The 15,866-nt window shown below is 45.1% G+C and overlaps 1 long non-coding RNA gene across 1 annotated transcript in view, besides 3 other annotated features; it reads left to right on the top strand.

Annotated features, from left to right (window-relative positions):
* Positions 1–14,674, top strand: part of LOC107987037 (uncharacterized) — a 48,715-nt gene extending 34,041 nt beyond the window's left edge. Inside the window, exon 3 of the long non-coding RNA XR_001746580.2 lies at positions 14,496–14,674. This is a non-coding gene — a long non-coding RNA (uncharacterized LOC107987037). The remainder of the gene's footprint in view (positions 1–14,495) is intronic.
* Positions 8,796–9,995: an enhancer, noted in NCBI's record as "P300/CBP strongly-dependent group 1 enhancer chr9:126840763-126841962 (GRCh37/hg19 assembly coordinates)". NCBI's record gives its function as "activates an origin of replication core promoter dependent on BRD2, BRD4, P300/CBP, MED14 and CDK7 cofactors, with strong dependence on P300/CBP, by STARR-seq in HCT116 cells {active_cell/tissue: HCT116}" and the evidence as "EXISTENCE:reporter gene assay evidence [ECO:0000049][PMID:35650434]".
* Positions 9,002–9,296: a silencer, noted in NCBI's record as "tiled region #10835; K562 Repressive non-DNase unmatched - State 21:Repr". NCBI's record gives its function as "represses a minimal TATA promoter and a strong SV40 promoter by Sharpr-MPRA in K562 cells {active_cell/tissue: K562}" and the evidence as "EXISTENCE:reporter gene assay evidence [ECO:0000049][PMID:27701403]".
* Positions 9,002–9,296: an enhancer, noted in NCBI's record as "tiled region #10835; HepG2 Activating DNase matched - State 8:EnhW". NCBI's record gives its function as "activates a minimal TATA promoter and a strong SV40 promoter by Sharpr-MPRA in HepG2 cells {active_cell/tissue: HepG2}" and the evidence as "EXISTENCE:reporter gene assay evidence [ECO:0000049][PMID:27701403]".
* Positions 14,675–15,866: the final 1,192 nt, after the last annotated feature.

The raw sequence follows: 15,866 nt of genomic DNA on the forward strand, positions 1-15,866 counted from the left end.
CTGGGCATCAGAGCAAGACTCCGTCTGAAAAAAAAAAAAAAAAAAAGCCCTTTCCCAGCCATAATCACCATTGATGTTCACAAATAGCCTCACAAGGCAGGTCTCATCATCTCCATCTTGCACATTAGAAAATAGAGATGACTTGATCAGGGCTCCAGGTGGTGCCTTGCTGGGTCTCTGAGAAGTGGTGGATGCTATGTCTTCTTCATTAAGTCATCCATCCTATACATGCATTCTCCTCAATTCCATCTGAGTTCTCTTTCTGTCGCCCACCAGGTCGTTAAGGAAGCTGTGTCTTATCCAAGCCTCTTTCTTCTTTTCTATGCTGCAGGCAAATGGAGCCTTTCTCTCCCCGCCTCTTGGTTTTATCTTGCTCACCTCCATGACTTTCTCAACACGTTCTCTCTGCCTGGAATTTACTTCTTCCTCATCTCCATATGTCTAAATCCTGCCCATTCTTTTTTTTATTTTGGTAAAATATACATAACATAAAATTTACCATCTTAACCATTTTTTAAGTGTATAGTTCAGTAGCGTTAAGTACGTTCACATTGTGGTGCAACCGATGTCTTGCAAAACTGAACCTGTTTTCATTTTGCAAAAGTGATCCCTCTGTCAACACTAAACAATTCCCCATTCTCCTCTCCCGTAGTCCCTGGCAGCCGCCATTTTACTTTCTGTCCCTATAAATTCGAGTACTCTAGGAACCTCATGTAAGTAGGATCATACTGTATTTGTTTTTTTGCGACTGGCTGTTTCCCATAGCAGAATATCCTCCAAGTTCACCCATGTTGTAGCATGGGTCAGGGGTTCCTTCATTTTTATTTTTATTGTTATTTTTTGAGACAAGGTCTCAGTCTCACCGAAGCTGGAGTGCAGTGGTGTGATCACAGCTCACTGCAGCCTTGACATCTTAGGCTCCAGTGATCCTCCCACCTCAGCCTCCCAAGTAGCTGGGACTACAGGTGTGCACCTTCATGCCTGGCTAGTTTTTGCATTATTCCTAGAGAAAGGGTTTCACCATGTTGGCCAGGCTGGTCTCAAACTCCTGGGCTTAAACAATCCAACCACTTTGGCCTCCCAAAGTGCTAGGACTACAGGCATGAAGCACCGTGCCTGGCTCCCTTCATTTTTAAGGCTGAAGAATATACCATTGTATGTATATGCTACATTTTGTTTAGCCATTCAACTGTTGATGGATGCTTGGGTTGTTTTCATATTTTCGTTTTGTGAATAATACTGCTGTGAACATGAGTATACAGATATCTTTTTGAGACCCTGCTTTCAATTCTTTTGGGTACATAGCAAGAAGTGGAGTTGCTGGATCCTATGATATTCTATTATTAGTTTTCTGAGGAACTGCTGTACTCTTTTCCATGATGGCTACACCATTTCACATTCCCACCAATAGTGCACCAGTGTGCCACATCCTTGCCAACACTTGTTATTTTCTGTTTTGTTTCATTTTGAGTTTTTTTTTTTTTTTTTGATAGTAGCCATTCTAATGGGTGTGAGCCATCCTAGTGGGTCGTTGTGGGTTTTTGTTTTATTTTGTTTTGTTTTGACAGAGTTTCACTCTTGTCACCCAGGCTGGAGTGCAATGGTGCAGCCTCGGTTCACTGCAACCTCTGCCTCCTGGGTTCAAGTGATTCTCCTGTCTCAGCCTCCTGAGTAGCGGGGATTACTGGTGCCTACCACCATGCCCGGCTAATTTTTGTATTTTTAGTAGAGACAGGGTTTCACTATGTTTAACAGGCTGGTCTTGAACTCCTGACCTCAAGTGATCCGCCCACCTCGGCCTCCCAAAGTGTTGGGATTACAAGCATGAGCCACCGCACCCAGGCCCCATTGTAGTTTTGATTTGAATTTCCCTAATAAATCCTACTTATTCTTCAAAGCCCAGTCCAGACGTTACCTCCTTCATATAGTTCTCCCATATCTTCCTGCCCTCATATGATTCCTCTAAGAGTGTGATATATATGTGTGATCATTCTCCTTCTTCCTCTCTTTCTCCTTCTTCCTCCCCTCTTCCTCCTCTTCCTCCCTTTCCTCCCCCTCCTTCTCCTTCTTCCTCCCTTCTCCTTGTTCTTTTTCTTCCTCCCTTTCTCCTCCTCCTCTTCTTTCTCCTCCGCCTTACTCCTCTCCTTTGCTTCTACTGTCTATGGTTTGCATCTCTTTGAAGGTCCTCATGATTTGCATTTTCTCTTGGAGTCATTCTTGACTATGTCTCTCTCCCCCACCAGACTGTCAGCTCTTAGAGGACAGGGATCTTAACTGAGTCACCTCTGGGTCTCCAGAATCCAACAGTGTCTTGCACAGACTGGGTTCCAAGACTATTTTGAGTAATTGAATAAATGAATGGACTGGATACATGCCTGGATGGGTGGTAGGAGAGGGAAGCATGAATGAGTGGGTGGATGGAAGGGTAGATGAATAAGAAGGATGGAAGATAGAAGTGTGAATGGTAAGAGGCTGTCTGGTTCCTCTCTGCCAAATTCTTGCGCCAAAAATGCTCTCCTGTCACTTCCAGACACTGAGAGACTTCATGATTCTGCTTGTGGGAGCTCCAAAAACAGACCCTATGAGGAACTCTCCTGCTTCCTGTTGAACCTTCAAACCGTGCTTTTTTTTTCTCTTCTGATTCACATCCCTTCTCAATGTTGCCAAGTGAGGAGGGAAAGAACACCTGAAAGCCAGCTGTCACTCGTCTTGCCAAGCTGCTCACCCTGCTAAGAGCTTCAGCCATCACCAGGGAGGAGTGTCCTTTCCTTTACATCCACGATTCAACTGTGGCCGAGCTTAGGGGGCTTCCAGGGTCCAGAGGGGTGCTTTTTCCTAGATGGGGTGAAGACACTCGTTAGGTAATAGGTGGCTCCCTCCCTACAGCTTCTCCCTTTCTGCCCTTATTCCTCTCATTCCCTTCATCTTCCTCTGTCTCCTGCTCCTAGCCATCTCCTCTTCCTTTTTTCACTCTTCTTCACTATTTGACTTGGTGAAAAGATTCAAGACTTCGGATTTAGAAAGACTTGAACTTTAAGCCAGCCATGTCTTTGATCAAGTCACTGCACCTCTCTGAGTCCCAGTTTCCCTGTCTGTAAAATGGAGTTAACAGTTCCCAACCATCAGGGTTGTCATGTGAATCAAATGACATCATGTGTTCAAAGCGCCTGGTAGCTATTGCTTTTATCAACACCGTTGTCACCAGCTTTCCTTACAATTTGCAAAATCTTGCAATGTCTGCAAAGAAGAAAAAAAAAAGCTGCACTTCCTATCATGATGCATGCCTTCTATGCATCTACTGTGTTCCTTCTGCCCTTTTCCGGGAGCCCCTCTTCTCTTCTTCATCTTTTTTTTTTAATTGAACCTTTAACCTTATACACATATCTGTTAAATAAAATGCCAGGCATAGGTCCATGTTAGTCTCATCTAAAAAAAAAATGAGTCTTTCAGCTTCCAAATGCTTCATGTCACTTCACTCAACCAACATGGGTTGCCATTGTGAGAACATCATGATCCGTTCTTCTTTCTCAATGGGGTGCAGAAAGAGGGGTCAGCCCAAGTGTAATGTCACGAGGGCCAGGCTTGTGTTGGTCTCTTGTCTCTGCAGCTTCAGTGCCCAAGACAGGGCCTGGCACAGAGGGACTCCTACAAGGATTTGTTGAATGTGAAAAGTGTGGCCATGGGGCTTCAGCACATGCGGTGGGCACCCTGCTTCTCTCTTTAGGCTAACCCCGAGATCACCTGTAGACATTTCCCTGCAAGCAGCGCTTCCTGTATCTCCCCACCTGTGGGAGCTCTCTGGGGATGCTGGCCCACCTTTGAGGAGTTGGGAGTGCTGGAGGGTTATTTCCCCTGAACAGTCCTCAAAAATGAAGGATGAGGCCAGAGGCAGTGGCTCATGCTTGTAATTCCAGCACTTTGGGAGGCCAAGGCAGTAGGATCACTTGAGGCCAGAAATTCAAGACCAGCCTGGGCAACATAGAGAGACCCTCATCTCTACAATAAATAAGTAAGTAAATAAATAAATAAATAAATATTCTGGGTGTGGTGACCTGTGCCTGTAGTCCCAGCTACTTGGGAGGCTGAGGTGGGAGGATTGCTTGAGCCCAGGAGGTTGAGGCTGCAGTGAGCAGTGATCGTGCCGCTGCACTTGCTGGGCAACAAAGTGAGACCCTGTCTCAAAAAGAACAGGAACTGGTGAATAAATACCCCAGCTGCCTTGCTCGTCAGCTGGACACTTTCGAGGCATGTTCTATGCAGTCTCTTGCAGATCCTCAGTGGTCTTAAGCCCTAGTTATCCACAGTGGTCACCCTGAATCACCATATCCTTTGTCAACTTTGTTCCTTTCCCGGTCTCACTTCTCTTTCTCACCATGCTTCCTGGCACCATCTCCCAAATAAATCATTTGAACCCAAATCACTCTCTTGAGGAGTCCAAACTAAGACAAATGACATGAACGTTATGTTTTTTAGCACATGAATCACTCAATGTAGGAAAGTTTATTTGTTTGAGTGGTTAAGAATCAACCCATGGTTCTAGGAGAAAAAGTAGTTATGATGGTTTTTTTTTTTTTTTTTTTTTTTGAGATGGAGTTTCGCTCTTGTCGCCCAGGCTGGAGTGCAATGGCACGATCTCGGCTCACCGCAACCTCAGGCTCCCAGGTTCAAGCAATTCTCTTGCCTCAGCCTCCCGAGTAGCTGGGATTACAGGCATGCACCACCACACCCGGCTAATTTTTTGTATTTTTAGTACAGACAGGGTTTCTCCATGTTGAGGCTGGTCTCGAACTCCTGACCTCAGGTGATCTGCCCACCTCAGACTCCCAAAGTGCTGGGATTACAGGCGTGAGCCACCGTGCCTGGCAGTTATGATGTTTTAACCTGACATTTGTAATCTCTCCACACTCTCTAAACGCACTAGAATTTCCCTGTATATAAGATTTCTAAACCGACCTGACTCCAATTATTAAGCACAACCTGACTCCAATTACTAAACACGTTTCAAATAAATAACACAGGGTGACTTGAAGCAAAGTGTTTTCAACAAGTGATTGCATGAAGACCTGTGCAGATGGTACATCCATTGGGTCACCACAGAATGTCCTGGAGAAGGCAAATTCTATAGTCAGATCAGCCTGGCTCGAATCCCAGTTTTGCTCCTCCCAGTGGGGCCTTGGGTAAAGACATTACACCTCTCTGAGCCTCAGTATCCCTGTCTATTCAGAAAGAATGTAAATAATTTCAACCTCTCCAGGCTGTTGTGATAATCAGAGCAGATAATGGAAGTGAAAGCCTTTTGAAAGCTGCAAAGCAGGATTCCTGCAATTGTTGCAATGATTCTTGAAAGTCAAACCAAAAAGCAGAGAGCAGTGGGGAAGAACATGGGCTTTGGAATCAGGGTTTGCCATCCACTGGTTGGGTGGCTGATGAGAAGTCACTTTGCCTCCCTGAACCTCAGCTTCTCGGTTTATAAAATGGAGATAATTACCCTATTCAGTGGATCTCAAACATTTGGTCTCTGAACCCCTTTATACTTATAAAATTTATTATAGGTCAAAGAGTTTTTATTCATGTTGTATATATTTATTGATATTTACCATATTAACAATTAAAACTAAAAACTTTAAAATATGTATTTATTGACTGGGTGTGGTGACTCACCCCTGTAATCTCAACAATTTAGGAGGCCGAGGTGGGTGGATCACTAGAGGTCAGCAGTTCGAGACCAGACTGGCCAACATGGTGAAACCCCATCTCTACTAAAAATACAAAAATTAGCCAGGTGTGGTGGCGCCTGTAGTCCCAGCTACTCAGGAGGCTGAGGCAGTAGAATTGCTTGAACCGGGGAAGTGGAGTTGCAGTGAGCCAAGATTTCACCACCGCACTCCAGCCTGGGTGACAGAGCAAGACTCTGTCTCAAAAAAAAGAAAAAAAAGTATTTATTCATTGAAAAAGAACAATCCATTACCTGCTAACATAAAAAGCCCAATTCTTATGAAAAACAACATTTTCCAAAACAATAGTTTAGTGAGAAGCGTGGCATTGTTTTACATTTTTGCAAATCTCTCTAATGTTTTGCTTAATAGAAGAAAACTCGATTCTTGTATTTGCTGTGGTGTTCAGTCTGTCGTGATGTGTTGTTTGGATTGAAGTATATGGAAAAAAATCTGGTCTCATGCAAACATGTAGTTGGAAAAGGGAGGAGTATTTTCCTAGCTTTTTAAGACAAATTATGGATATTATGCTTTGATAGTACACCAAAACTTGACAAGTAGTAGCCTTTTCAACGTTAGTTGCAATGTAGACTTTGAATCCTATCAATAAACTTTTCATGATGTTCCATGAAATCCACCTTGCATTCTGAATGAATCTTTTACTTATGCATGATTTTGTAACACCATGAATTGTCATTTGGAAAATACTGGTTTACTGAATTATGCAGATTTTCCAAATATTGACACATCCCAATAGACAATATTTAAAAAATCACACTTGACAATATCTCATCAGTCTTTAAGTATAAAGAAGCTATTAAACTCAGTTTTCTCTTGAAACTTCAAATTTTATTGTTGGCAATGAATACTAATAGTTGATTTCCTTAAAGTGACAGGCTCACTTCTTTGACTTTTGAGAAAATGTCTGCCAAACACCCAAGTCTGATTAACCCAAATTTATCTCTTAATCATGCTTTCAAGTACAAGTGTTGTTGTAGGAAAGAAGTGGGTGGTTCAGCTGTAATTCACATAATCATACAAGTGCTTTTTATTGAGACAACCATTGTATTGAAATTTGCAACAGAAGGGCTTTATATGCTACTTCCCATTTTTTCACACAGTGTAGTAAAAAGAAGTGTCTAGGGTTTAATAATAGTCATAATATTTATCGATTCATCAGGGCATTTTTTAAAAACCACAGTGTTAAAAGTGTGTGGTGGTGAAGGATGCAATGATTGTTAGTGCAGTTTGGTGCCACTGCCTGGATCTGTGTAACTACCATTGTTTGTGCACCAGCAGTGTACATGTCAGACTTCGAAAAAAGCAAATAATTTTTTTCTTTTTCTTCTTTTTTTTCTTTTTCTTTTTTTTTTTTGAGATGGAGTCCTGCCCTGTCACCAGGCTGGAGTGCAATGGCATGAACTTGGCTCACTGCAAGCTCCACCTCCCCAGTTCAAGTGATTCTCCTGCTTCAGCTTCCCGAGCAGCTGGAATTACAGGCATGCACCATCATGCCTGGCTAATTTTTGTATTTTTAGTAAAGACAAGGTTTCACCATGTTGGCCAGGCTGGTCTCGAACTCCTGACCTCAGGTGATCCACCCATCTCAGCCTCCCAAAGTGCTAGGATTACAGGTGTGAGCCAACGTGCCCAGCCTTGCCTATGCTATGCTTTCAATACATCAAAAGTAAAATAAATACGATGTATGTTTTTAATAAGTTAAACATAAGCATCTGAATTTTACATATCCACAAAGCTGGTTTCTATCAGAGTGATTATCAAATAGCAGGAATATGCTAAAGAAGTCAGACAGAATGACAGAGAGTAACGGAACCACAGGGAATCCATTATGCATATTTTGGGCCATTCAAAGCTTTTTTTTTTTTTTTTTTTTGAGACAGAGTCTCCCTCTGTTGCCCCGGCTGGAGTGCAATGGGGTGATCACAGCTCACTGCAACCTCTGCCTGCTGGGTTCAAGTGATTCTCCTCCCTCAGCCTCCCAAGCAGCTGGGATTACAGTGCTCACCACCACACCCGATGAATTTTTGTATTTTTAGTACAGACAGGGTTTCACCATGTTGGCCAGGCTGGTCTCGAACCCATGACCTCAAGTGATCTGCCCACCTCAGCCTCCCAAAGCACTGGGGTTACAGGCGTGAGCCACCGCACCCAGCCTCAAAGCTTTTGTAAACATTAGGAAAGTGCTTCTTGTCTGAGTTTACTTCCAATTCTGCTTTATTGTTAAATCTCATTGTTAACAATATTTCCCAACTCCTTCCTTCCCTCCTCCTTCCTTTTTTGCCAACATCTCTAAGAAAGTTGGATGGCATACAAGTCCTTCATGTGTCATTATGAACATGTTTAATCAGGTTGCTTTTCCAACATCCAAGACAATTGGTCTCAATTAGAGTAAAAGAATTTCTCTGGAGGTTAAGGGAGAAATAAGTTATTTTGAAGCCTTGGGCCCCCGAGAGAGAGAGAGAGCCTGGTGGGTGATTTATGCATCAGAGAGGCAGCAGGACTGGGTGTGATAGTGGGAAGGTGAGGTGGCCCAGAAAGGATGGAGGTAAGATCTTGAAGACAAACTTGGCTGAATTTTATGAATTACTAGAGGTTGGCTTCTAATTAGGCCTGGAACTCAATGCCATGCTGGTGTCATTCTTTCCTTTTGCTTCTCTGGGGACAGCCTGGCCTTCTGGGCCAGGGCCCATTAGTGAGTCACCGTGCAGGGCATTCATTCACTAAACATTCCTTCAGAACCTGTTCTGTTTCAGGTTCTGAGTTGGATGCTGGGAAAACAGACATTGCTCAGCCTCTGTTCCTGCCACTAGTGAGCTCTTGAACTTGTAAAGAGAATCATATCATTAATTTTAACTTACTAGATCAAGGGATGTCCAAGAGAGCCTGTGAGCCCCAGATTAGTGACTCTGTTTCTGAGAGGGACTGATATCAGAGTGGGGTCTTGAAGGATGAATAGGAGTTTGACAGGCAGAGAAATGTCCTTCTAGGCAAAAGCACATGCAAAAGTATATGGAGGTATGAAAGAATATAGCTTACTCAGGGAGAATGAGACATTACAGGATCAGCGGTTAATGGAACAAGATGGGGGACGAGCAAGAAAAGGTATAAAGAGGCAGAATGATGAACAGCCTTAAATGACACTGTTTGGAGTTTGGACAGGGTAGAGAGATCAGCTAGAGAGCAGGGGTCAAACTTGGGCCTAGGTTTGCTGAACTCTCAAGGCGCCAACTTGAAAGAGTGAGAAGTCCCCTTCTCTGACCAGAAGCAACTTACATACTTCCTGGTGGAGTAGAAACCAATTCCAGCATGGGGGAAGCCCCCAGAGCAGCTGTATAGGGCAGGCACATGGTGCTCCTGGATCTGAAAGGAAGGGAAAAGGATGGAACAATTCAGTGCACTTCTAAGTTATCCAAAACAATGTGAGTCATTTAACAAATATTTGTTTCGCTCCTACTGTATGCAAGACAGAGGTTGTCAGTGTGTTCAAGCCAAAGATCAAATACCCATGCCTCAAACCTGGGCTCAGATCCCAGCTCTGCCACTGATTTTCTGCATGGACGTGGGCAAATTGCTTCTCCTTTCTGGGCCGAAGTTTCTCCATTGGTACAATATGGGTGTTAGATTTGAAGATTTTGATCATGATGTCCTGCTCTCATATTCTGCAATTCTGACTTGCTCTGTGATCTTGGGCCAGCCCCTGCCCCTGTCTTGGCCTCAGTTTCCTCATCTGTAAAATGGAAGGTAGGAAGAGATTTAGCTTGAGATACATGGAGCCTGTATCTTGGTCACCCGAGCCTTCCCTACACCCAGCCCAGGGTCCTGAGCTACTCTCCCCACCCCCAGCACACTCTAGCTTCCTCTACATTTCTCATCAAGATGCAACATACTTTAAATAGCATCTGCATGACTGGCTGGTTTTTTCCTTCCCGGAGAAGCTCTCTACAAAGTGTGCCAAGTGGCAGCTGTCAGGGCCGAGGTGGCATTTCCCTCAGTGATGCTGACAGCAGCTGTCCCGGCGCAGGCTGAATGGAATGGAAATGACATCATGTTTATTCAGGAAAGATGTTCCCAGACCCAGATCAGTGTCAGCAAGATGCTGGGATGCTTGAGGAGGGAAAACAGGACCAAGACCAGGCACTGGGTCTCCTCTTCTGGAACACACACTGCGCCATACGCCACCCATCTCACACACATTCCACGCACACATGCTCACACACCCACACCACTCACACAGACGGGCCTCCATATATACCACACCCTCTCGCACACGCACGAAAACACAGATGAACACGTGCCACATGCTATACAGGCTCCCCCCTCCCCCGCACACAATCGCACCACAGGTACATATCAATACACACCACCATGACAGCGCACACATACACCACATGCTCACAGATACACAGACACCTAGAGAGACATAGACAGACAGCTGCATGTCACATATGCATTCAGGTAGGGGTGCAGCTATTGGGGTGGAGGACAAGCTTCGGGACCCCATGCATAGAATCGGATCTTTCTTCTTTCTCCCTGGGTCTGTTTCTTCTCTGAAATGGGTGTTGTGTCATCCAGCCCTAGGCTGTTCCAAAGACTAAACAGTAGAGGCAATATCTTGCTCTCAGAAGACAGTAGGTTTTTAAAAATTTTATTTTTTAATTTTTATTGAGACAGGGTCTTGCTCTGTCTCCCAGGATGGAGTGCAGTGCCACAATCTTGGCTCACTGCAACCTCTGCCTCCGGGCTCAAGCAATCCTCCCACCTCAGCCTCCCAAGTAACTGGGACTACACGTGTGCACCACCAAGTTCGGCTAATTTTCAGATTTTTTTTTTTGGTGGGGTAGAGACAGGGGTCTCACTATATTGCCCAGGCTGGTCTCAAACTCCTAGGCTCAAGCAATTCTCCCACCTTGGCCTCTCGAAGTGCTGGGATTACAGGCATGAGCCACCTTGCCCAGCCAACCCCAGGTCTTGAAGTTAGGTAGGCCTTACCTGGTTGATCCTGCCAGTAGCAAAAACAAAGGAAAAGGAAAAGAAGTTAGGCAGACTTTGAATTGAATCCAGATTCCATAAATCCTAGCTATGACGCTGGGCGTGTTATTTATCACTCTGAGCCTCTGTTTCCACATCATTAAAATGGGATGTTTTGGATACCTATTGCTGCATAACAACCAGCCCCCAAATTTATGCTTTAAAAAAACAGCTATTTTCTATTTCTCATTATACTATGGGTTGGCCAGGTAATAATCCTGCTCCAAGTAGTGTAAGCTGAGGTCCTGGGAGGCGTGGGCTATCCAAAATCGCCTCCCTTACAGAGCTGACAGTTGATGCACCTGGAATCTTTACCTGAGCTATAGGCCAGGGACCTCTGTTTTCTTCCACATGGACCTCTCCACATGGCTGCCTGAGCTTCCTCACAGCATGGTGGCGGGATTCCAAGGAGGGGCATTTCAAGAAGTGAAGGTGGAAGCTGCAGATCTCTTAAGATTTAGCATGGGAATCACAAAATGTCACTTCCAGTGCATTCTATTAGTCAGAGTAAGCCCCAGGGTCAGGCACGTAGTGAAGGCCTAGATTATGGCAGTCATTATTCATAGTCATTATTACTGCAGAGCCAGCGCTGTAATGGAGTCTGGACCAGGGACATCCTGAATTCCCAGTGCTGGGGGTTTACAGTCACTGAGACACTAAAGAATGGATAAGATATGAGGCCAGGTGCGGTGGCTCACGCCTGTAATGCCAGCACTTTGGGAGGCCAAGGTCAGGAGTTTGAGACCAGCCTGGGCAACATGGTGAAACCCCGTCTCTACTAAAAGTGCAAAAATTAGCCTGGTGTGGTGGCATAGGCCTGTAATACCAGCTACTTGGAAGGCTGAGGCAGGAGATTCACTTGAACCCAGGAGGCAGAGGTTGCAGTGAGCTGAGATTGCACCACTGCACTCCAGCCTGGGTGACAGAGCGATACTCCGTCTAAAAAAAAAAAAAGGACAAGGTCTCTGGACTTCTAAAGAGCTCCACCCCAACCAAACAAGCTCCTCCCAGATGGGTTTGGCTCTCCCTACTCTGCCTACCCCCTACCCCACCCTAACTGCTGCACTTAGATTTGCCTGCAGATTCATCCAAAAAGCCAATATGACTTTCCTGTTGTTAAAAAAAGAAGTAATGGCTACCATTTACAGAGCACCTACCATGGGCCAGGCATTTTTCATTTTTTGTATTCTTGGAACCCAACAATGATTCGATGAGTTAGTCTTATTCCCACTTGACAGAGGAGAAATCTGAAGAGAGAGACATCGACCTGCCTAAGGTCACAGTCAGCTGTAGCAGAACACCTGCTTCAGGCTCTCCATCCTGGCACAGGCAGCTCTTAGCCTCCCTGGTTCAACACTCATTCCAAGATGAGTCAACCAGCCCACTTACTGGCGAAGGAGGATGGCAAGAGGCATAGTGTTGGGATTGGGGTTTGCTGGTGGGAACATGGGAGCATCCTTCTTTATCCTTCTTTGGCAAGCAGCTGAGGATGGTATAAAAACACAGAATCTGGGCCAGGCATGGTGGCTCACACCTGTAATCCCAGCACTTTGGGAGGTTGAGGCAGGCAGATCACTTGAGGTCAGGAATTCGAGACCAGCCTGGCCAATATGGTGAAATCTTGTCTCTACTAAAAAAAAAAAAAAAAAAAAACGAAAATTAACCAGGCGTGGTGGTGTGCATATGTAATCCCAGCTACTCGGGAGGCTGAGGCATGAGAATCGCTTGAACCTGGGAGGTGGAGGTTGTGGTGAGCTGAGACTGTACCACTGCACTCCTGTCTGGGCGACACAGCAAGGCTATCTCAAACAACAACAACACTCAGGATCCGGAATCAAAGGGTCCTGGGTTTGAATTCCAGCATTGCTGCCTCTTTAGGAAAGTGACCATTATCTCTTTGAGCCTCAGTGTCCTCGTCTGAAAAATGGGGTTAAGTGGAGCACTTACTTCATGGGCTTGTTCTAAGGATTCCACAAGATCACGTAGGTAAGCACAGAGTTGAGCATGTGGTGGTATGGATTGCATACATGAAACAAGACTAGGAAAACATTGATAGCAGTTGAAGCTGGCATAGGTACATGGTGCGGTCATTAGACCATCCTGTCTACTTTTGTGGGTGTTTAAAGTGTTCTATAATAAAAAATATATATTGGCCTAGCGCAGTGGCTCACACCTGTAATCCCAGAACTTTGGGAGGCTGGGGTGGGAGGAGCCCTTGAGGCCAGGAGTCTGAGACCAGTCTGGGCAACATAAAGAAACCCCGTCTCTACAAAACACAAAAATAAAAAATTAGCCAAGCATGGTGGTGCATGCCTCTGGTCCTAATTGGGAGGCTGAGGTGAGAGGATTGCTTGAGCCCAGGAGGTCAAGGCTGCAGTGAGCTGTGATTGCACCACTGCACTCCAGGCTGGATGACAGACGAGATCCTGTCTCAAAAGCAAACACAATTTGGTAAGGGTTTATCCCAGTGCCTGCCATGAATGTTAACTGTTATTCCAAGAGGAGCCTGGCTGGGTGCAGTGGCTCATGCCTATAATTCCATCACTTTGGGAGGCTGAGGCAAGCAGATCACTTGAGGTCAGGAGTTTGAGACCAGCCTGGCCAGCATGGTGAAACCCCGTCTCTACTAAAAATACAAAAATTAGCCAGGCATGGTGGCTCACATCTGTAATGTAATCCCAGCTATTCGGGAGGCTGAGGCAGGAGAACCACTTGAACCTGGGAGATGGAGGTTGCAGTGATCTGAGACCATGCCACTCCAGCCTGCGTGACAGAGCAAGACTCCATCTCAACAACAACAAAAAAAAAGTGGAGCCTGTTCTTGGGAGGTAGGGGTGGGTGAGGGTGGGAGGAGCTTTCCCAGGAGAGGACCACATCCTGCCCCAGCGTGGGGGAAGGTGGGCGCAGCCACCATAAAGCAAGGATTACTGCCACTCTAAGTCAGGTATGGCCACCCAAAGGATAGGGGTAACTGTTAAAATGACTCACTGACTTGTCCTCTTGGTCCTGTCTCCTCCTGTGCACCCACCTCCCTACTCCTGATAAGGACTCTCTTGTCCCCACCCCTACTTCAGCTGGCCCTGGTTCTCCCCTCTCCATCCATCCCATCACTGAACCACGACCAAGATATTCTAGTTTCATGACCTCTTTTTATTCCCAACTAGCTTTCCTCTTTCTTTTCTTTTAAAAACCAGTTTTATTGAGATAGAATTCACATACTGGCCATTGTATACCTTCTTTGAAGAAATGTCTATCCGGATCCTTTGTCCAGTTTTTTTCTTTTTTCTTTTTTGAGACAGGGTCTCACTCTGTTGTCCAGGCTGGAGTGCAGTGGCTCCATCTCGGCTCACTGCAGCCTCGACCTCCCAGGCTCAAGTGATCCTCTCACCTCAGCCTCCTGAGTAGCTGGGACTATACGTTCGTGCCACCCTGCCTGACTAATTTTTATGTTTTTTGTAGAGGTGGGGTTTTTCTGTGTTTCCCAGGCTGGTCTTTGACTCCTGGGCTCAAGCAGTCTGCCAGCATTGGTCTCCCAAACTGCTGGGATTACAGGCGAGAGCCACTGCACCTGGCCCTTTGCCCAGTTTTTCATTGAGTTATTTGTGTTTTTACTATTGAGTTGTAGAGATTTTTATATATTTTGGATACAAATTTCTTATGAAATATACGATTTACAAATATTTTCTCTCGTTTATAGGTTCAGGCCCTTTTAAATTGAAGTTTGTCTTCCAGATTCCACCCTGACCTCAGCCCTGCTAAATCCTGGCAACTTACCTGGGAGATGCTACTTCCCGACTGTGTGTCCTTGAACAAGTCATTCGATCTCTCTCATCTTCCGTTTTCTCATCTGCAAAGAGTCGGCAATGACTCATTGGGTCATTGTGAGATGTGGCCGTGGTAAGGAATTCAAAGCCATCTTTTAAATGTAGTTCCCAGCAGCCATTAGAATTTAGAACCTACTTTAAATCTATTTAAATTCTGTAAAGGCAGTACCATTTTGCTTTGTGTAAATTGCATGATTTTAAGTTACCTTATACAAAACTACTTTATTTTCATGTAAACTCATTACTATTTAAAATCTGTGAAATGAGGTGCCCACCAGTCACTGCTATTGGAATCCAGGCATTCAGCACTCCCAGGTCAAGATAGACCAGCAGGCCCAGCCTTTGTCTCCCATTGCTCCTGATGCACCACCAAAATAAAAGTGGAGAAGTTAAAAAAGGAATAATTCCCCAGGAACAAATGTGGGGGATGGTGGTTTCACCATCTTTCTCTTGAAACAAGAGATTTCAGCAAATGTGTGAAAGGTAGAAAACAGATGGGAGTGGGCTGCTGATGGAATGGGCCCAGCCTAGAATTCACTCCAGGAGGGTCACAGGGGAGGTGGGAGTAGAGGCCCATGGGGAGATTCTGCCCTAGAACTGCCAGCTTTGGTGGAATGCAGAAGAGAAGGAGGGGCTGAGGACAGGGCATTACCTGCAGGTCTGTACATGGGGTTAGGACTGTCTCTCTAGCCCCATCCATTACCGTGTGTTGAAAGCATCCTGCAGCTTTTACCCCAGGGCTAAAAAGCAGAAAGCTCTTCTCTAAAGAGACTGAGCAAGTTGCCTGGGAAAGCTAAGACTCCTGGTATGCATTTTCATGACTCAAAATGAAGGTCTCCTCTTTCTGGCATTTGGGGGACCTGATATACAGCTGGCTTTTGGCATACTTACCTTAAATGAAGCCTGTCAGTTGCACTGCTCATCCCACCCGACACAGACCACACAGTCAAAATCTTCAGTTGGTGAGAGGCCTAGCAGAAAACTAACCCTGCTTACAAAACAGAAGAAACCCACACCAGATGCCCAGTTCTGTTGTAAATATGAACAGACACTCAAGGAGCTGCAGGTATATGAAGGGAATCCACATCATGAAAGAGAAAGATCAAGCTCAGCAGAAAAATTGACCTGGGAGGAAATAGAACTAATTCAGAGAGCAGAAGATTATATTAGAAAATGTTATGGCCATAAAACAAAGACAGGTTTTCATGAAAAGTGATCAGAAGACAAGAGATAATTCTGAAGGATTAAAACTATGATTGTGGGGAAAAAAAGCTGGAAA

This window comes from Homo sapiens, chromosome 9 (genome assembly GCF_000001405.40).
Source record: "Homo sapiens chromosome 9, GRCh38.p14 Primary Assembly".
Lineage (NCBI taxonomy): Eukaryota > Metazoa > Chordata > Mammalia > Primates > Hominidae > Homo > Homo sapiens.